The 21,123-nt window shown below is 50.2% G+C and overlaps 1 protein-coding gene and 1 pseudogene across 2 annotated transcripts in view, besides 1 other annotated feature; one reads left to right on the forward strand and one right to left on the reverse strand.

Annotated features, from left to right (window-relative positions):
- Positions 1–1,188: 1,188 nt before the first annotated feature.
- The window catches only part of LRFN2 (leucine rich repeat and fibronectin type III domain containing 2), a 195,774-nt gene continuing 175,839 nt past the window's right edge, over positions 1,189–21,123 (reverse strand). For both annotated transcript variants that reach the window (NM_020737.3, XM_011514762.3), the window contains exon 3: positions 1,189–2,510. In NM_020737.3, the coding sequence (NP_065788.1) occupies positions 1,541–2,510 (970 nt within the window). In that variant the 3' untranslated portion in view covers positions 1,189–1,540. The remainder of the gene's footprint in view (positions 2,511–21,123) is intronic.
- Positions 17,451–17,553, forward strand: RNU6-250P (RNA, U6 small nuclear 250, pseudogene; annotated as a pseudogene).
- Positions 19,106–19,607: an enhancer, noted in NCBI's record as "H3K4me1 hESC enhancer chr6:40377247-40377748 (GRCh37/hg19 assembly coordinates)". NCBI's record gives its function as "activates a minimal SCP1, AML or CMV promoter by ChIP-STARR-seq in naive H9 embryonic stem cells {active_cell/tissue: H9 hESC(naive)}" and the evidence as "EXISTENCE:reporter gene assay evidence [ECO:0000049][PMID:30033119]".

Raw genomic sequence — 21,123 nt, forward strand, 5'->3', positions numbered from 1 at the left:
TCTCTTGCCACTGTCTGGCAGGGAGGGGTTATCCCTAGATGGAAAGGAGTCTATGCACCCCTCCCATTCCACCCTGTAATTTCCAAGGATGGACCCTCCTCAAGAAACCAAGAGCAGGCATCCCCCCATCCCACCCTGAGCCACTTTCTTAAGGAACAAACATGGGACAGCCTTTGGACACAGAAAAGCCCTAGGCAGAGTGAAGACAGGGTCATGGATCCCAAATACCACTGCCAGGAGGCAGGTGGCCTTGGCTTCTACCCTGACCTGGTCATGAACTCACTGTGTGACCCTCGGCAATTCCTTTATGCTCTCTGGAAGGGAGAGGGAGGGTTAAAGATGGGATGATTGCAAACACCTCCCCAAGCTTCAAAAGCCTATGATTCTAAAAAGATTCAGCTTTCCCCCTCCAAGGCTTCTAGAATTCTCTGTGTCCAGTAAAAAGGAGGGGCACTGCTGTAACCAGCTTGTGCTTCTGGTGTCACTAAGCAAAAAAGCCTAACATCTAGAGTCATGAATAATTAATAGGCCTATAGAACTGGAAAGGGACTGGAGACCTAGTACAATCCCAGTATTTTTGCAAATTGAGAAATTCAGGTCCCAACAGATAAAAGGGTCTTGCCCCAGTTATTCAGCTGGCTATTCATGTGACTGTGGAGCCCAGACACAGAACTTCGGACTCCAAGTCCACTGCTGTTTCTGCCACCCCTGCTGCTTTCCTTAAGAGAAGCCCTCCTGGCCTGCCACATGCTCAAGGGGGACTTTCCATGCCAGCTTCCCAGAAAGAGTGGCAACAAGCCCAAAGCAACTCCAGAAGTTAAGATCCCTTGTGCCCTATAGCATGAAGCCCTCCTCCCTCCCCACACGTAAGAACCCAGGAAATTACCCTTCTGGTTTAAGCTTCTGTGATGGGTGTGGCATGTCATGTTTGAGAAGCAAAGGAAACTAGGTCAGGTATCGGGGGTCAGTCACTCACCCCTTCCAGTGTCGGGTGTGGGGTGGTTGGGAGTAATGAGAGCTCTGAGCAGGGAACCCCACAGTCTTCCCCCAAACAAGTGTGGAAACAGAATAATTCCCTCCTCTTGTCAATTGGCAACAATTACCCACTACCAGGGCTGCTGGGAACACACATTCATATGTACGATTAACTCTCGATTATTCGTGTGAATGAAGAGGAGGAGTCTGGGAAATGGAAAAAAAATAAATTAAGAAATAAAAACAACACTAGACCCATAAGCAATCCAAAGCCGCTTGCTTGTAGGCTACATTTGTGATTAGAAAGGCGGAGTCTCGCCTTTCCAAACACTCAGGGCTCAGTCCGGCATTTGAGCGAGTCCACATTCCCTGAGCACACCCCGGCCGGGTGGTGGGGAGGTGATGTGGGTGTTGCGGGGTAGGGGGGGACACGAGGCCATTGACAGGGAGACGAAACTGTCCCTGGATGTAAACATCACCATGGAAACTCCACAAACACTTGCCAGTGAGATTCTTTCCCCTTCTCCCACCCTGCGCACAGGAAAGGGAGCATGCCCACCCCCACCTAGACCGTGCTCTCCATCACCCATTCGGAGCTGCCAAAAGTCCCCCGGGCCCCCACCAGGTCACTCTCCTCAAAGGGCAAGAGCATGCCGTTGACAGAGAGGCTGCGCTTCGTCCAGATGTTCGAGACCTTCCGAGGAGGACTGTAGCCGCCCGGCACGACCCCTCCCGCCGCCGCAGCAGCAAAGTCCCCCATGTCGAAGGAGTGGCTGCGTTTGGCCTTGCCCTCCAACGGCAAGGGGAGCAGGCTCCTGGCCCGGGCCGCAGGGGGCCCCAGCAGTGGCTCTCGGTCCGAGTGGTGGCCCCGGGCCGACGTCCCAGCCCCTCTCCCGGCTGGAGTCCTGGAGTCCAGCAGCTCCTCCTTTCTCTGACTCTTGAGGTCCAGGGAGGCGAAGGCCCCCATCAGGCGGTCAAGGCTGGGCTTGGGGCGCGGGGCGGAGGGTGGGATCCTCCAGGGGGCCCGTCCCAGCCCCGCAGCCTCCCCACTGCCCAGGGAGCTGGAGGAAGAGGAGTCACTGGCGCGGGCCAGGCTGGCGGTGAAGTCCAGGAGCTCGTTGCGCACCACCACCTTCGGCGGGCCCTGCGGCGGGGCCCCGGCTGGTGCGCTGCTTGGAGGCGGTGGCTGGGCGCCGTTGGTCTGCGAGTACACATTGCTCACGGCCGCTGCCATCTTGCTGGGGGCCTCGTGGTTGCAGACCTTGTAGCGCACCATGAGGATGACGATGAAGACCAGCAGCGTGGCCACGATGATGCCCCCGATGACCAGGATCATGGTGCCGCCCAGAATCTGGCTGTGCATGGACTGGCACTGCGGGTAGTCAGCCTTGGTGAAGAACTGGGCGCAGCCCACGATGTTGGTGGCCGTGAGTGTCGTGGCTGTGTCATCCCACATGGCCAGCACACACAAGTCGTAGCCAGTCCCTGACACCAGGTTGTTGACCACGAAGGCCTTGTTGGAGGCTGGGATCATCCTGGGGAGGGAGGTGGACAGAAATAGTGAGGGGTGGTGGGGTGGAAGGACAGGGTGATGGGGAGTGGACAGAGGTAGAAACAGAGTGACAGAGATGGGGAGGGGGAGGGGAGGGAGGCCAAGACAGACACGGGGACACAGAGAGAATGGGGCAGAGGGAAAGAAAGGGACAGAGGAGTGAAGAGACATGGAAGGAGAGAGAAGGAGAGACAGAGGAGAGGGGAGGAGGGAGGGGCAGGGGCAGGCAGGCAACAGGAATAGGGCATAGGGAATAGAGAAGAAAGAGATGTGAGGAGGGAGACCCAGACAAGGGAACCAAGGGACAGGTTAGGGTGGAAAGGAAGGTGAGAGAGGGAGATTCAGAGATGGAGCATCAGGGAGAGGTATAGACCGAGGATGTGTCAGAGACCAAGGATGTGTCAGAGACCGAGGATGTGTCAGAGACCGGGTGAGAGAAAATCCAGATATATGGAAACAAAAACACAAAAACACAATGAGTATGAAGATGAAGGGAATGAGAAAGGAGGTAGTTGAAAGAAGAGAAAAGGGGAGGCATTTAGAGGTGGAGGGAAAGAGGAGTGGGGGAGACTCAAGCAGAGTTGAGAGGACACACAGGGACAGGCAGAGGGAGAGACAGAGAGGCAGAGAGGTTAAAGTGTGAAGAAGCAGAAATTATACAAAGGGACACCCGCTACTTCCCTCCTTCATGCCTGCTACAAGTATTCCCTCCGTCTCTGGGATGGGCAGGGTGAGAGTCAGGTCAGCCCTGACCCTGTGCCAGCCCACCCCGAGGCTTGCTCCAGCCCTCCTGTGACCTCTGAGATTCATGGCGATCCCCATCAACACTTTCTGAGCCTTCTTTCTGGACCAGGTGCTGTGCTGTGTCAGAGACAAGGTCCTGCCTGGAGAGGCCAGCACCACCCACACCTCCAAAGGGCTTTCTCATGACTCAGGAGGGAGAGCGTTTGCTGCTGCAGACTGAGGGAGAGGGAGTCTAAGCAGAAGAGGACTGGATGCAGGAGAAGGGGGCCTGCTGCTTAGGGGTGGAGGGACAGTGCAGTGTTAAGGACTGGGGGGCACTTCTGCATCCCAGAGGAAAGGGACGATTCCTTGGTCCTAGTTGTAGTAGGCCAGGCTCAGCCAAGAAACCTGGGGGAAGAGTTTCTTTAGTAGAAGACTTTAACTGCTCCTTCCACCTTTGGGGAGGGTCTGATGGGGAAGCACTCTCCCCACATTGTGGCTGGTCCTCTCCTGCCTGGAACTCCTCACCCTGAACTCTGGACCCTTGTGACCTTGTTAAGCCTGGATGCACACCCTGAACTCCAAGACCCTTGTTGAGGTATCATGCCTTCTGCTGATTCCAGAGATGATGCCTGTGTCACTTCCATAAACACTCCCAAAGAAATACCCAGGCCTGAAGGTACCACTGTGTAGCTTTCTTGGTAGTTCCTCCACTCCCATTCTCCTATTCCCTACTACTTGAGAATGAAAGGGCTCTATCAGTTCCCATCAACCCCTCAAACCTGGAGCTAGGCAACTTAATTAAGATCTCAAATATGAAATACTGAAGCCTGAAAACTTCCACCTGGGATCCATGCACAGAGGACTGGAACTGACAGACAGATATTGACATCCCGTCAGTGGGCAACCCCAGTGGCTGCTGCCTCCCTCCTCACCTGCCCACCTGCTCTTTTGCTGGGGAAGCCACACTGGAGGAAATTGAGCCCCCAAGGCCCACCTGATATGGTTTGGCTGTGTCCCCACCCAAATCTCATCTTGAATTGTAGCTCCTACAATTCACAGGTGTTGTGGGAGGGACCTGGTGGGAGGTAATTAAATCATGAGGGTGGGTCTTTCCCAAGCTATTCTCATGACAGTGAACAAATCTCATGAGATCTGATGGTTTTATAAAGGGGAGTTTCCCTGCACAAGCTCTCTTCTCTTGTCTGCCACCAGGTGAGATGTGCCTTTCACCTTTTGCCATGATTGTGAGGCCTCCCCAGCCATGTGGAACTGTGAGTCCATTTAAACTTTTTCTTTTCCTTTTTTTTTTTTTTTTTGTAAATTATCCAGTCTCGTGTATGTCTTTATCAGCAGCGTGAAAATGGACTAATACACAGCCCCACCCTTAGCACAGTGTTTGGGGCAGAAGAGGCCAGAGGGGTTAGGAGAGGTGGATCCAGCAAGGACCCTGCAGCCAGCCCCACAGGTCTATCTGAAGACTTCAGAGCCAGTTTCACCTGGGCATCATGACAGTCCTGTAAAGGCAGTGATCAGTACTCCCATTTCACAGAGAAGAAATGGCTGAGACTCAGAGAGGGTAAGTGATCTGCCTGAGGTCACACAGCTGGGACTGCTAGTATGCAGCAGTTGAGACCTTTAACACTAGCTTCTGGGTCCACGGTCTGGGCTTGTTCCTCACTGTGTGACAGACATGGAAGCATTTTTCCTCATTTCAGTGAAAAGTTCGCCCTGGCCTGTGGCTGGTCAACCACCTTCATCCCTGGAGCAGCTTAGAGCCTGCTGTGACTCACGCTCCTCTACTGACAGGATGCCAGCCTGCTAGGCCATCTGCTGGGCAGGGCCTGAGGAGCCCTGTGTGGCCAATGCTGCAGGGGACACTTGAGTCCTCCAGGGCCTCGTTCCTTTCCCCTCAGGGCTAATGATGTAAGTTGAGATGGCAGGAGCTAAGCACACCCAGAACAGTGACAACAGCAAGAGCAAACACCAGCTGGTAACTGTGCGCCATGCTCTAAGTGCCCTATGCCAACTCACTTAGGCCTACCGCAACTCCCCGACACAGCTGCCATCATAATCCAGATTTTTCAGATGGGGAAACAGAGGTGCAGAAGTGTTATGCAAAGATAACATGGCAGAGCTGGGATTAAATCCCAGGGAGGCCACCGTCAGTCTGCTCTGAATCACGGCATTCCACCATTTTGTTGGGCCACAGTGATATAAGAGCATGTCCACTTGAGAGGTGGATGGACATCCTTGTTTACTGAATACCTGTTGTGTAACATAGGTTTCCACATTCATGATTGCATTGAACACAGCCACCCCAGGTCACCAAAGATGTACCACGAGCCCAGAAATCTTCTCAATATTTAGCCACCTTCTCCTGGGAAGCAGATCACACTAGTACTACTATTAGTACTACTACTAATAGCAACAAAATAAGAAGAACAGCTAACATGAGGGCTTACTCTGTGCCAGGCACTATTGTGAGATATTTAAGGGGATTAAGACTCTTTTAATACTCCCTAACATTGTTGGGAGGCCATTATTGTTATTCTCATTTCCACTTAACAGATAAGAAACTGAGGCACAGAAAGGTTAAGCTACCTGCCCAAGGAGGCCCAGCTAGTAAGTTGGCAGAGCTGGGATTTAAATCAGGCAGTTTGGCTCCAGGGCCTCCGCACCTGACCCCTGGGTCATGCTGCCTCTCGGACACTGCCCCGTCTTCCTGCCCTTCCTGGGCAACTTTGTGAGGAACCCTGCCTGGTCTCCCCAACTCACCTTTGCTCCCCAACTCAGAGAAAATCATAATGTGATGAAGCCACATCCTAATGTGATGAAGCTGCGGTTGGGCTGTGCTGCTGATGGAGGTGTAACAAGGCAAGGCTGATTCTTGGCGGGCCACTGGAACCGGGATGAAAGGTCAGGTCTGGAACAGTTTTGCACTGTAATTGGCCCATCAGAAACAAGGCCAGCAGGAAAAGCCTGCTAGGATGAAGAGCAGAAAGGCGGAAGGCGGCTCCTGATTCCTCTGCTCTGTGTGTGTGTGTGTGTGTGTGTGTGTGTGTGTGTGTGTGTGTGTATGTGTGCGTGTGTACGTCTGTGTGTGTGTGTTGGCGGTAGGAGGAGTTGGGGTGACTTAAGGAGAGCCAGAGCCAGCTAACTCAAAACAGCCCTGGCTGGCAAGGTCAAGTTTGCCTTTTCTAATAACAATAATAACCAGTATTTGCCTAGCACTTACTTGTCCTGGCAAGTTTACACGCATTATCTCATTTAATCTCCTACAACCCTCTGAGGAAGTTATTCCGGTTTAGAGAAGGAGGAAGCTGAACAGTTTGAACTTTCCCTTGGGGGAATGATGGGGCTGAGACCAGAACAGGTCCATTGCATCCCACAGCCCACACTTCTTAAAAGCAAGACACTTCTGCCTCCAGGCAACCAACAGACAAATTGCATGAGAAAGCCACGTGAAATGGGCACTCTAGTGAAAGATATAGAATTCATCTCTGACCTGTGTCCCCCTGTCCACCTCATCATCCAACCCTACAAAACCATCCACTGATCCTCCAAGCTATAGCTGGGGAGCCTGGATTTCCCCCTTCACTCCTGCTCACAACCCATCACTCTGGCTGGTAGATTCTACCTTCTGAACACCCTCTGCCTTCCAACTCCACATACAGTGTTAGCTTAGGCCTCTCCATTTCTGGTCAGGATGGACTCAGCAGCCTCCAGTCAGGCTCTCTGCCACAAATTTTGCTCCCTGAAAGTGCATTCTCAGCACCACACCATCTCTAGTGCTCCACCTAAAACACAACTCTGGCTGTGTCGCCTGCCCACTGAGATGCTTCAAGTACTAACTATGGTCTACAAGAGACAGTGCAAACTCCTTAGCTGGGCTCCCAAACCAGGCTGCTGTCACATTGTTGTCCTTCTACCCACACAGCCTCTGACGCTGCCCACATTCTCAAAAACTTGCCCAGGTAGGAAAACACTGCAGAATCAGCCGGGCCCTGAATGGGCAGATGGCACTTCCTAGAAGGATAATTAAAGATCTTATTTATCAAGGGGCTAGTTGTAAAGAGGCAAGAGGGTATCACAAGGGAATGTGCAAGAACCCAGAGCTAATAGCAGCCAAGAGCCGAGGTGTTACGTCTGCCTCATCCCCAGGAGAGAGAAGCATGTAGGCCAGTGCTGCTTGTAGTGTGGCTCACAGATGGATGCCGGCCCATGGACTGTTTGTTCCTGTTCCATGATCAGACACTACAGAAGTCAAGAGTAGGAATTAAGGCTTTATAGCAATTTGGCATTGGTTGTCACATTGAAGTGCATGATGATTATTTCTGGTAACTTAGTTCTAGTCTTACAAAAACACTGGCCTGCAACAGAGTGGGGAAAATCGAAGCTGCTCCTTCACAATGAATAGCTTGAGGAGCCCTGGGCTAGTGCAGGCTTTCTCAGCCTCACCACTGTTGACACTTTGGCTGACTATGTCTTGGCTGTGTGGGGCTGACCTCTGCATCGTAGGAGGACAATCCCAGGACACCCCTGGGCTCCACCCACCAGATGCCAGAACACACCCACAGTGTGACAAGCTAAAATGTCTCCAAGCATTGCCCAATGTCCTCTGGGGGCAAAGTCACCCTCCATTGAGGCACATTGGTTTAGAGAATTTGGTTGAGAAACAGAAGCTGCCAGGGGCAACCTTACAGGGTGGGCACCGGACAAAGAAGTAGCCGGACCTCACTCTTCTCTGCCGCCGACCTTCTGCTGCTGCTCTGCATGGCTGAACCAAACCGAAAGCCAGAGTTCACAGGCACATGCAGGTCAGGCTTCCAGAGTGCAGGGCAAGGCGGAGGAGGGGAGAGTGGATCCCGAGGGACAATAGATAATAAATGGCTCAACCATCAGGTCAGTCATGGGCACCTCCATGAAAAACACGTCCCTGAAATCCTGAGAGATTTCTTTCCATCATGTAAACTACCAACATCTCTGTTAGCAGAAAACATGAATTGCTATTTTAAGTTAAACTGCTCCAGTGCGTTAAATTTAATTAAGCTCACACACTCTAAAAGACAATTTGAAACTGCAACCCCAAGCACTTACCAAAGAAACACAAAACAAGCCTAAGTGGCTGCCTCTGGATTGTTTTTCTTTTTCTTTCCTTTTCTGTTAATATTATTTTGGCATTGTTCATTCAGCTTAACACTAGCACACAAATCTACGGCTGATACTAGAGGTCTATGAAATCACAGGCACATACTGTTATTCTACTGTGGGCTCTCGAATCTGTTCTCCACATTTCACCTGCTTGCCTCTGCCTGTGGGGAACTACATTTCCCAGGCTCCCTTGTCTGTTCCCAGGTTTCTGAGCCCTCAGGCTGCCAGTTGGAGTTGGCCAATGGAGGCACTGGAGAGAGAGACTGGAGGGCCGGAAGAGGGGAGAAGCCAGGTATCTCTTCTATTTTTTCGTCTCCAAGTGGTTTCACCCTGTCAGTGAATCTCCTCTGTGATTCCAGCTGCCAGGGTTCCAGCTCCTGCTAGACACATTAGGATCTTAGTCACTGGTCATGCCATCTCCTCCTGTGTCCTTCCAGCCTTGGATGGGGATGGGTGGGTGGCGGTGGCTCCCAGCTGTTGCTAATCTCTATAGCGCCTCACTGTCCTGCCCCCCACCCACTGCTCCCATGCTCACTGCCCCCACCTGTTGTTGACCTCTGAGCAGCTCCATCATCCCTGAAATCCAAACCCTGTACTGAATTCTCTTTCTTTTTCTTTTCTTTTTTTTTTTCTTTTTTTTTTTTTTTGAGACACAGTCTCACTCTGTAGCCCAAGCTGAAGTACAGTGGTGCGATCTCTCGGCTCACTGCAACCTCCGCCTCAGGGGCTCAAGCGATTCTTGTGCTTCAGCCTCCTGAGTAACTGGGCCTACAGGTGCACGCCACCAAGCCTGGCTAATTTTTTGTATTTGAGTAGAGGCGGGGTTTCACCATGTTGCCCACGGTGGTCTTGAACTCTTGAGCTCAGACCATCCGCCCGCCTTGGCTTCCTAAAGTGCTGGGATTACAGGCGTGAGCCACGGCTCCTGGCCTGAATTCCCTCTTTCAAAAGACCTAAAATGTTCTTTTATTTCTGACTGAATCCTGAATGACACAAGGAGATAACCCTTACATTGTTGAAAACATTCTATTTATTAACTTATTTCCTTGCACTTTGGGAAAAGATGATCATCACTTCATGTCAGCAGCAGCACATCTTGGCTGTATCTAGTGAAACTCCAGCTTTAGGAAACAATTTACCAGCTTCTCGGAATCACTCATCACTCCCCCAGTAAGCCAACTTGATCCCATTGCACACAGTGGTCCCTCTTCCTTAGCATCATATCTTTCTCCACTGGGTGACCTCATCTTTTAAGGCCTGACTCATAAATTACCTCTGACCTCATCAGAGCTATCTCTTCTCTCCCTCCTCCCACAACCACTCTTACAGTCCCCTGTTAAAGCCCTGGGGGTCGTTCATGTACACCTTTCCCTTGAGGACTGGAACTGTGTCTTATTCCTCTTTGTATTTCTACTGCTGATCACGATGTCTGGCCTAGAGTCAATGCTGAGTAAATATTTACCCTACGGTTAGGCAGTGAGTGCAAGAGTGCTTTGCAAAATGTTAGGGCCTAAACATATGTGAGGGATTCTTATCTAATATTCAAGGGTTAGTTAATGGTGACTCTCAGACACTGGCTGGTTCTGAGGACATCTTTCTGGAGAGGTACTTTTCCTTTTTTTTTTTTTTTTTGAGATGGAGTCTTAGTCTGTCACCCAGGCTGGAGTGCAATGGCATGATCTTGGATCACTGCAGCTTCTGCCTCCCAGGCTCAAGCAATTCTCCTGCCTCAGCCTCCTGAGTAGCTGAGATTACAGGCATGCACCACCATACCTGGCTAATTTTTGTATTTTTAGTAGAGATGGGGTTTCACCATGTTGGCCAGGCTGATCTCAAACTCCTGACCTCAAGTGATCCACCCACCTTGGCCTCCTAAAGTGCTGGGATTACAGGCATGAGCCAACACACCCGGCCTGGAGAGGTGTTTTTCTATATCCTTGAGGCTTACTGCAAGGGCTCCTGAAAACCTTTCATGGATGTGCATATACATATGTGTTTGGGGTATGTGATTGTGTGTATGCCTGTGTGTGAGAAGATGTGTGTCTAAGAAGTATCATTTGTCAGCTGAATGTGTGGGTATTTGTGAGTGTGTGCCAGAGTGTAGGTGTTTACATGTATGTGGCAATAAGGGGTCCTGGTCCTAGGCAATGTTAGTCATTGTTCTGCCCCTCTTTCAACCAACCCCCTAACCCCACCTCCCCCAGAGGCTCCCACATCCTCTGAAACTTCTGAGGTGACTTCCTATGTGACCTCTCTCTGTAGGCTGAGGCTCCTCTTTTCTAATGGAACAGAGTTTACCCCCCAGAAAAGGCATTTGGGCCTCAGGAATAGGAATGGGAATGGAGTGGGAGTTTCCACCTGGTCCTCAGCCTCCAGGAAGAGCCTGTGGAATGACTACCAAACCCCACTCTCCCCCTCTCTCATGGCTTCCAGTCTAGGCTACACTCTCCAGGCTCCCTTGCAGCTAGTGTGCCCATGTGACCCTTTCTGGCTAAAGGGATGTGGAGGATGTCATCTGTGCCAGATGATCTGTGCCATCTCTGGGCCAGGTCTTCAGTAGCTCGGGTGCCTTCCCCACACTCCCTTTTCCTTCTGCCAGCTGGACCCTTGGGCAGGATGACAAGGCCTAGAGGGAGGTACGTACTGGGTACCTAAGTCTCCCATAAGGAAGGTCTCCTGATAACCTGGCACACCGCTCTGGACTGTTAGGAAAGTGAGAAATCAAATTTGATTCTGCTTGAGGCTTTACATTATGGCAATTATTTGCAACAGCAGTTGCCTCCCCTGACTAACAGACACCCACAGGTTAGATGAAGTGAGCCTGAAGTATTTGCTATTTAGTAGGTATGTGAGTGAGAGACAGGGTGAATGTGTGTTTGTGTAAGAGGAAGACATTGGTGCTGGTGTCTATACAAGAAATCCTTGCCTTCCTGGAGTTGTCAACAAATACCACCTCTTGTATCTGCATAATTCCTCCAGCCTCCAGCCTCCCCTCTGCCCCACTAGCACCACGCCTTTCTAGGTGCTCTGTCCTCTCCTCCCTCCATCAGTGATGCACCATGGCTGCCTGTTGAGCCTCAGCACTAATTTGGAAGGGCCACATCAGGCTTCCCCTACCCGACCCCTGGCTCTCTGTGTCCTCATTACTGGCTCTTCACAGAACCACTGGCTTGCCACCCTCTCTAGTTAGCCTTGAGATCTCAGACTACATGACATGGCCTCATTAAACCAAGCCAAGCAGCCCTTACTCCCAGATTCTCTCTCTTCCTGCGAGCCCCAAAGGGACCTGTTTGCTTTCATGCATGAGCTGCAAGGGAGTAGAGGAGATGAGTGTTGTTCCATCCTGCATACAATTTATTGAGTACTTACTACGTGCCAGGAACTTGACAGGCAGAGTCTCTTTGATTCTGCATGCTGACTGTATGAGGTAGGAATAATTATCCCCTTATTACAGATGAAGAAACTAAGGCTCAGGCAGATAGAACCCCTGCTCAAGCTCACACAGCTGGAAAGTGGCTGAGCCAGGTCTGCCAGGCCACGGAGCATGATCTTCCCTATGCTGTATTACATTGAATTGAATTGAGCAGAATCAGGATTTAGCAGGAGGCAAGTCTTGGAGTCAGGCCAACTGTTTGCCAGCAATTTAAAAAGAAAAAAATAACATGCCTTACTTTACAATGATAGCTAACATTTATTGAGCACTTACTATGTGTCAAACACTGTTCTGAATATTTTCCATGTATTAGTTAATTTAACCTTGGGAAATCCTGTGAGGGAGGTACTAGTCTTATTATCATTATGGATGAGAAAATCAAGGTTCCAAGACATTAGGTGACTTGACTAAGCTCTCACAGAGAGGAGGATTGTGCTCAGCCAAGATTGAACCCAGCACTTTCACATTTCCTCAATTCATGTTCATGATAACCCCGGGAAGTACATCTAATAATTGTGCTACCTGTTTTAGAGGCAGTGGTTAACTGAACTGCCCTGGGCTCACATAGCTAATTAGAGCCAGAAATGGGACTCCAGTGAATGAGGAGGACAATCTCTCTACTTCGGGACGCATGCTCCTGGGAATTCTGAGGGAAGTGAGGGAACCACGTGGATATCCATGGGCAGAGTTTCCAGGCAGGAAGGAGGTGCCAGTGCAAAGGCCTTGAGGTAGAAACAGTGAGGAGGACGGTGAGGCTGGAACAGAGAGATGGAAAGGGAGAGTAGTAGGAAATGAAGTCACCAAGGTAGTAGATAGGAGCCAGGTTCTTGCAAGTATGTTCACTCTTTGTTCCAACTCTGAGATTGGCTGCTGGGTGCTAATGTTAAGGATTCTGAGGCTGTGTTTAAACTCAGTGGGACAGAGTCCTCTGGAGCCGGTGTCTCATACTTGCTGTTTCTGGCCTAGAGATCAGAGTAGTTAGAATTACCAGAATTACCAGTACAAGTTGTACAGCCTACTGGTGACTAGTGCCAAATGCTGGCCTTCCCTAAGCACCAGGGCCTGAGTGATAATGGGGGAAGCACATGTCTGCTCTTTAGAGTGGGACGATCATGGAGCTGGTGGGATTCAGTGAGGGCTCCAAGGATCAGAAGACTGATCTTCCAGTTGGGGCCAGGGACCAGAGGCCTGGGGTTGGGGGCTGGCCTCTGTCCCTGTTCTTCTGCCCTTGTGGCTCCTGAGAATATGGAGCTTCCACAAATGCCCTGAGGCACCCCTGCCTTACTGGCAGTTACTTTAGACTCTCAGTGAGTGAAGGGGCCACTTTCCTTTCAATATGATTGAGGCTCTGAGACAAAGCACCCCAATCATTGCCTCAATCCTCAGGTGTACCCGGACATCCACTTCCACAGCCCGCAAGACAGCAGGCAGGGTTGGCATCAGCCCCTGTTGAGTTGGCCTCTGGGTCTGGGTGTCCTTCCTTGCTCCCATCCCCCAGCCTCTTCTCTGCAAGTGGTCAGAGGGATCCTGTTAAAACCCAGGTCACATCCTGTCTTTCTCTGCTCAACCCTGCTCCTGCTCCCAGTGAAGCCCACCTCATGTAGTCAAAGTCCTCACATGGCTCACAGGCCCCAGACAATCTGCCCCTCACCTCTTGGGTTTTGTCTCCTTCTACTCCCCATTCTTACTCTACAATCTGGGCTCCCCACTGCTTCTCAAATCTGCCAAGGGGAATCCTGCCTCAGGACTTTTGCACTGGCTGTTCCCTCTGCCTGGATGCTCTTCCTCCAGATATTTATATGCTAGCTGCTTTGCCTCTTTCAGGTCCCTGTTCCAATATCACGTTCTCAGCGAGGCCATCCCAGATCACGTTATCAACACTGCGGGCTTCCCCAGGCTTGTTACTCCACTCCATTTTTCCCCAATGCATTTTTATTGCCCAACAGACAATATCATTGATTTATTATGATTACTGTTAATTGTCTTTCTCTCTGTCTACTAGAATGTCAGCTCCCTGAGGTCAGAGTTTGTTTGGGTTGTTTTTTTGTTTTTTGTTTTTTGTTTTTTTTTGCCTGTTTTGTTCACTGATAGTTTCCCAACACCTAGAATGATACTTGGCACAGCACAGACCGTTGAAAACATTGGTTGAACTTGCAAATGAAATGAATATTCTACACTGCACTGCCCAATATAGTAGCTGCATGTGGTCATTCAAATTTAACTTCAAATTAATAATAATTGATTAGAATTAAAAATTTAGTTTCTGAGTCATAACAGCCAGATTTCAAGTGCTCAGTAGTCACATGGGGCTAGTGGCTACTGGATTGGACAGTGCCACTGTGTGACATTTCCATCAACACAGGCAGTGCTATTGGATGGTGCTGTTCTAGAACATGCTATGCAGCCCTATCCATGTACCCAGCAAGTGGTATTAACACTGTCATTTTCTATGTGAGCCCTCATGCACCAAACAGGTGGGCCAGTCCAGGTGATGTTGTCCAGCTTTGGGGAGTTCACACAAGGGATGAATTTGTCTTGGAGGCTTTGATCTAGACCTCTGAGCAGTTCCCCATTCTCTCTGAGGCTCTGGACAACTTCATCCCTCCTTTATGACTCTTCCAGTTCTCCATGGTTCCTAAGACCTCTGGGTTCAGCGTGCCCTCTCTGGGATTCTCTCAGGCCTAGCTCAAGCTTATCTGCCCACTGGAGTGTTCTCTCTGCCTCCCATACTCAGCCTGTGCCCCAGCCCCTTCCCAAGGCTTGGCCCCACTGGCAAAGCTGCCTTGCCTTCCCCACAGTCCTCAAATAGGGCCAGCCCTTAGCCAGCCTGTGTCTTTGGGCCCCCTCTGGTCCTTTGTTTCGATATTCTGGTTCCTGCTTTTCTGCCTCTCATGTTCAAGCTACCCAGCTACCCATTACACATCTGACACATTTCTATTGAGAAAAATCCCTCATAGATCCAATAACAATGATAGATGTCATCGGAATACCTGCCATTAGCAAGAGAAGCTGAAGAGGCAGCAGGGTACAGTGGATATGCACACAGGCTCTGGAGTCAGACTGTAGGGTTCCAATCCTGGTTTTGCACATACCAGCTGTAATACCTTATCTTGGGCAAGTTTCTTAATCTCTCTGTGTTTGCTTCCTAGAAATATCCCCTTTCTGTAAAATGGGGCGTTCATAATCTCTGCCTTATAGGGTTGTTATGAGGATTCAAGGAGTCATGATTCATAAAGTACCTAGGTCAGTGCCCGGCACAGAGTAAGCCCCGCATGAGGGTCTGTTACATAAAGGAGTGGGCCATGCTTAACCCATGTAACCCCAAGGAAATGCCTCTCTGATGGTGGAAATCCAGGCCTCAGGGATTTGTGGCTGGCAAACCTCATGCAGGCTAGAAACTAGGAGACTCGGGCAGTGCCTGACCCTGGCTGGGCTGGCAGGGAGGCATCTTGGCTTCAATACTTGCAGCAGAATGGGTCCCCCCTCCAACCCCCCATGAAACTATTGTTCAGAGTTCATGTGGAGGAAGTGTTAGTAAAGGCCTGGCTGAGCAATGGCAGAGATGACAGGAAATTAGGCCAAAGAAAGCTGAGCCCCAGCAGGCTGCCTCTGTGCTCATCTCCCCAGCGTTAGGCCTTACCTGGTGACAGGTGAGGATCACTCGTTGGGAGGCCCTGTGTTTGCTCCCTGACTTGGGAGGCATGGCAGATGCAGCTGCCAGGCAAGGACTTGGGAAAGTCGCAGCCCAAGTGTTTGGTGGAGGCAACAGTGTCAGGGAGGGAGCGTCGCCCTCCTCCATGGGGCTCCTTCATGGAGGGGATAAAGCCAGGAGGTGGGAATCCAGGCACTGGCACTGCACCACCGGGGTTCAAGCCCCAGTGCTGTCACTGACCAGCAGTGTGACCTTGGGCAAGCCACGTAACCACCCTGTAAGAGGGAGCAGATGATACAGCCCCGTCGCAGGGTTGCTACGAGGATGAAATGAGCGAATCTCTGTGATTTGAACAGTGCCTTGTCCCTAGTGAGTGCTTAATTTGTGCTAGTGTTTGTGACTGAGGACAGAGAAGTGAATCCAGGCCTGAGGCTGGATACTGGCTCATGGATCAGGTGCACAGCCAGCTCTGCAGGCCAGCCGTCTGAGGTCTGGCAGTCTGTTTTGGTGCAGGCCACTGGGGCCAGCCTGCCCGCTGATCCAGGCACTTCTCTTGCTGACTAACCAAGGTGTCTGCTTGCTCTTCCCAGTTCTCCTCTGCCCTCACCATGCACAGATCCTAGGAACTCCAGGTTGAGAAGGACCCTGAGAGCCCCCCTGCTCATCAGCGCCTCCATAGCAGGCCCACCTGGCTGTCAGCACCCTCTGCTCACACACTTCCAGGACATGCCAGGCAGTCATCCTAGCTCTGGACAACTCTGAGTGACTCATGGGGGCCGTGGTCTGACAGACTGCGTCTTCCTCCCACCAGCCCAATGCAACCCCACAGCTGCCCAGAACAAGCCTGTTTCTTTCTTTTGGACATGTTGTTGCTTCCCATATTGTGAGGCCACTCTCTCATCCCACCTTGAAGAATTCACATTTCCATTTCCTCCAACCATTTCCTCATAGCACAGTTTCTAGTTTGCTGGCAGGCTGCCCCGTCTGATCATACCTGATCACATGTCAGTTTGTCTTTGGCCCTTCTCTTTGGGGGTTCTCAGTAGTCAGACCCTACATTGCCCCAGTCAGACATCACACTTGTGGACACCACCCCCTCCCTGGAAGTACACTGGATTCTCTAGAAGCCACATCCCACTGGTGGTCACACTGAGCAGACTGTCAATGGAGAGGCCCTGTGCTTTCCCAGGACTGCTGTTAAGCCACATTGCTTAAACAGTGTCCCCACGACTGCAGGCTCAGCCAACCCAGGCAAGCTCTTGAGCCCATGTAAGGCCTGCCTCTCTCTCTCTCATTCTGTGTATGTGTGTGTGTCCTCATTCAGGTCTCCACAGATATAGAAGTCTTCTCTATTTAATTGTATTTAATTGTCCTTAGCTTCCAGCCCCCAGGGACTGGGTTGGCATATCTTAGAGGAAAGAGTGTAGGCTTTGGACTCAGACAGAAATCTCTCTTTGAAGGCTAGTTCTGCCCCCGACCAGATGTGTGACTGTAGACCATGTGACTTTCCTCTCTCTGAACCTCTGTTTCCTCACATGTGAAATGGGAGAGTAATACTAGCCTTCTGTGGTGAGTGTGAGAAATCAAGTACAATAGGAATAAACATGTCTGCTCCCTTCCTGGGTCATCTGGTACCACAATGGCGATGACTACAATGATGCTACTTGTCATTTATCTCCTGGAGGAGCTGAGAAGAGCTTGTTCAACAACAACTCATCACTTGGAGAAAAAATGCAGAAGGTGTCAGATCAATTATACCTTGTTATAAACACAGACGTGTGCAAAGTGAAGATTCCCCACCAGCTGTGCCCAAGTCACGCTAGAACAGCCAGCAGACACCAAGTAAACACCACCTAATGATGAACCTGGTCGGACCATTCACGCCAGTTGGCAGATCCATAATTTCATGGGGGCATCACCCGGAGCAAAGCCAGCACCAGCCTCCTTGAAAATGCTATCGTATGCTCTCTTTGGCAGCATTTCCATTAAAACTGGAACCATGCAGAGGTCAGCATGGCCCCTGCAGAAAGATGACAGCAAATTTGTGAAGCATTTTATATGAAATTCTGGTACATGCTACAACTTGTGTGAATCTTGTGTGATTCCACTTATATAAAAGACCTGGAGTAGTCAAATTCATAGAGACAGAAAGTAGCAGGGTGGTTGCTGGGTGCTGGGGGGAGTGAGGAATGGGGAATTCTTATTTAGTGAGTACAGAGTTTTAGTTTGGGGTGATGAAAAAGTTCTAAAATGGATGGTGACAGTGACTGCACAACAATATGATGTATTTAGTGCCAGTGAACTGTCCACTCAAATGTGGTTAAAATGGTAAATGTTATGTATATTTTACAATAAAAAATGGCAAAAAATATCGCAAAGCCAATTCTACCAGGTGAGCAGGAAGAGGAGAGGTTGTTGGAAATAGATGTGTCACTTCAGGGAGGCTGATGAACATATGGGTGGCAGTCACCCTCGGCAGGGGCTTCTTGGTTCTATTGTCTATGGGCTTGGGTGGTCCTGTCAGATCTGGGGAAGGAGACAGCATTTGGGGAGGGGTAGAAAGAACCCCTGGCCATCTGATGCTATTCTACATGTGCCCCAATGGATGAAGAGTAGAGCAACTCCAGAGCAGAAGTTGGCAGGAATCAAATGCCTGGGAAGAAGTCGCTGAAGATCCAGCATGGTGGTTCACAGCAGCTGGGCCTGGGTTCAAATCCTGCTCTAGCAATGACTAGCTGCGTGACCCTAGGCAGATTACTTACCCTCTGCCTCAGTTAAATAGGAACACTAGTACCTACTGTGTAGGAATATAGTCAGGACTAAATGAGGTAAAGTGTGTTAAATGCTAGGGGTGCCTGGCAATAAATGAAGGAATGGTAAACACTGTATTTTGTTTCAATGCCAATGGTGAAGTCAACAGTAACACTTTGTCTTAGTTTCTTTGTATTGCTTAACAGAATACCACAGAATAATTTATATTTTTAAAAAACAGCAACAAAATTTTCTCACAGAACTGGAGGCTGGAAGCCCAAGATTAAGGTGCCAGCATTTGGTCTGATAAGGGCCTTCTTTCTGTATCCTCACATGGCAGCAGTGGAAGGGCAAGAGAGACAGAGAGCCCCCTCGGTAGCCACAAGCCCTCATGACTTTATCACCCCTTACAGGCTCCACTTCTTCATCCTATCATCCAGGATTAGGTTTTAACCTATGAATCTCAAAGAGGACACAAGCATTCAAACTATTGCACCCTTAATAAAGCAAATCTGGGTAAAATGAAGCCCTCAGTCATTTCATGGAGGGGCATTGGGGCCCCACCTTTTCCTTCAATTATAACCATCTCCCTCTGTCAGATCAGAAGCTGTATCATAAGAAGGAACCTGTATCGACCCCCAGGGTGAATTTGTGCTCTAGTGAAGAAGGTTTACTGACTGTGCCATGCCTGGTGAGTCACTTCCCATGTTTGAGCCTCGCCTTCACAGTTTTCTCACTTGCAAAATGGGTTCGTAACAGCAATCATATGGTGTCTTTGTGAAAATTAAGTACTATGATATTTGTTCAGTACAGAGTATGCTGCTGAGAGTATGTTTATGCAATAAAAAGAAGCCATGATGATGTTTGCATTTGGTATTTGAAGATCAGTTTCAAATGTTGGCCCCACCATCTGCTAGCTGAGCAATCTTGAACAAGGGATTTTGCTTCTCTGAATCTCAGCCTCCTCATCTGTCAAACGGGAATGAGAACACTACCACCTCCCCCAAAGGACCGTCTGGAAAACCTAAGACGCACATCTACTTGGACACAGTATGTAAGTGGTGAAGCATTTATAAATGTGAGGTGTCCATTTTTTATAATGGGGACAGCCAGCACTCGTGCATGAATGAGTGACCGAGAAACTTATTGACACTTCCTTGGGGGCTGTTCCAAGCTGCATGCCTGGAGGCAGACCCCCTGGTGAGAGACTAGCTGGGCATCCGGCTGCTGAGTTGCTGCATCATCCTGCCTGCTGCCTCACCCCACGGAGAGTTGCCCTTTCCACCCAGCAGTCAGGAGGAGCCCACTCAGCACTTCGCTGGGCTGTGTTTCTGCTGATTCTCCCTGGATACCTCTGTCTCTAACAAGCAGTCTGCTCAGGAAGGAATTAATTAAGGGTGGGGAGAGTGACGACCTATAGCAGGAGGTCTCAGGTGGGCAGCTGGGAAGCCCCACTCTGTCCAGCCAAGTGGAAGGTCCTGATGCACTCCCAACCCTGGAGTCAGCAGGAGGGAGGGTGGGGGAGCAGAGCCGTCCCCACCCACCAGCCATCCTCATGTCCAGGCTGGAGGATGAGGCTCTAACTCCCACTCTGTCATGACTTGTTCAGCCTTGAGCAATTCACTTTCCTTCTCTGTGCTTTTAACATTCTAGAATTTCACAAGAACATCACTGGAAGAGGGGTGATGGGAGCACGGGGGAGGCAGGAGGAAGGGGATGGGATATTGGGGTTGTGGAAGTAGGGGCAGCAGCACGTCCCTGACCCCGAAAGCACACAGGAGTTAGCATCAAAGTGACCTGGGCTCAAATCCCATCTCCACAATTTATTGACTATATCTTTACTCCCTTACTTAACTTTCCGTAGCTTTTGTCTTCTTATTTGTAAAAGCAGTTTGCAAACCCAATTTGCAGAGTTATATGAGGATCAGAAGTAATGTACACCAAGCACTGGCATACAATATATACTCAATAAATCATTTATATATATAGTGAATGCTTACATACTTTATTATTGTCTATCTTCTATTTATCTTTCTATCATCTCTTACAGACTAACACCATCCATTCCACCCACCTCGCAGCAGGACCCCTCCTGGTGGCAGAAGATGAGCCGCCTGAGGGCACAGGTAGTTTTAGGGGTTGGGGTCTCTGCCAGATGGGCAGAGGAGCCTTCCTATGGGATTTGTTCATTAGCCAGGAGCTTTAAGGTGGGGCTGGCCTAGCCTAGAGGTGCACCATCCTGATTTTGCCTGTGAATTACTAAAAGCAGCAGTGTAATTATCCTCCTTCCTCTGTCCTGCCCCAAGTCTGGGAGCAGCCAGGGCCTATGGGGACAATGAACACAGAACAGAGCCATTAATTGCACACCAGGGTCCCTGGAGGATGGCCATATGGGCCTGTCATCTTAGTGTGGAAGTAATCATGTAAATAAATCACGTGTGAGTAAATCACAGACTTATCTCATCTGTAATTTTCTGGGAGTCTCTCCAGCACTGTTTATTGAGGTGCATGGGTCTGAAGCCCCAGAAATTGGCTCACTCTCCTCCCTCTCCTGCTCCAGCTGGGGAGAGGCCATTCTGGGTGGCAGATGGGAGTGAGGCTGATGAGGAGTCGTCCCTGCTCTGCTGGGGTACATGCAGGTGCAGTGGAGGGTGAACCCCAAACGGGCACGGTAGGAGTAGGGGGGCTGTGTGAGTGAGTGGCCGTTGGCCAGTGTGTGCGTGTAGGTACGTATGTGAGTGTGACTGTGCGTCCACTGGCCAGCGTGGAAGCAGCCCTGGGCATGTGAGCAGGGAAAAGGATTGACCTGAGGCTGTGAGCACCTGTGAACATGCACAGGTCGGGTGAACACTCGAATCAGCGTCCTTACAAAGGCCACATGGC

Source organism: Homo sapiens, chromosome 6 (assembly GCF_000001405.40).
Source record: "Homo sapiens chromosome 6, GRCh38.p14 Primary Assembly".
NCBI lineage: Eukaryota > Metazoa > Chordata > Mammalia > Primates > Hominidae > Homo > Homo sapiens.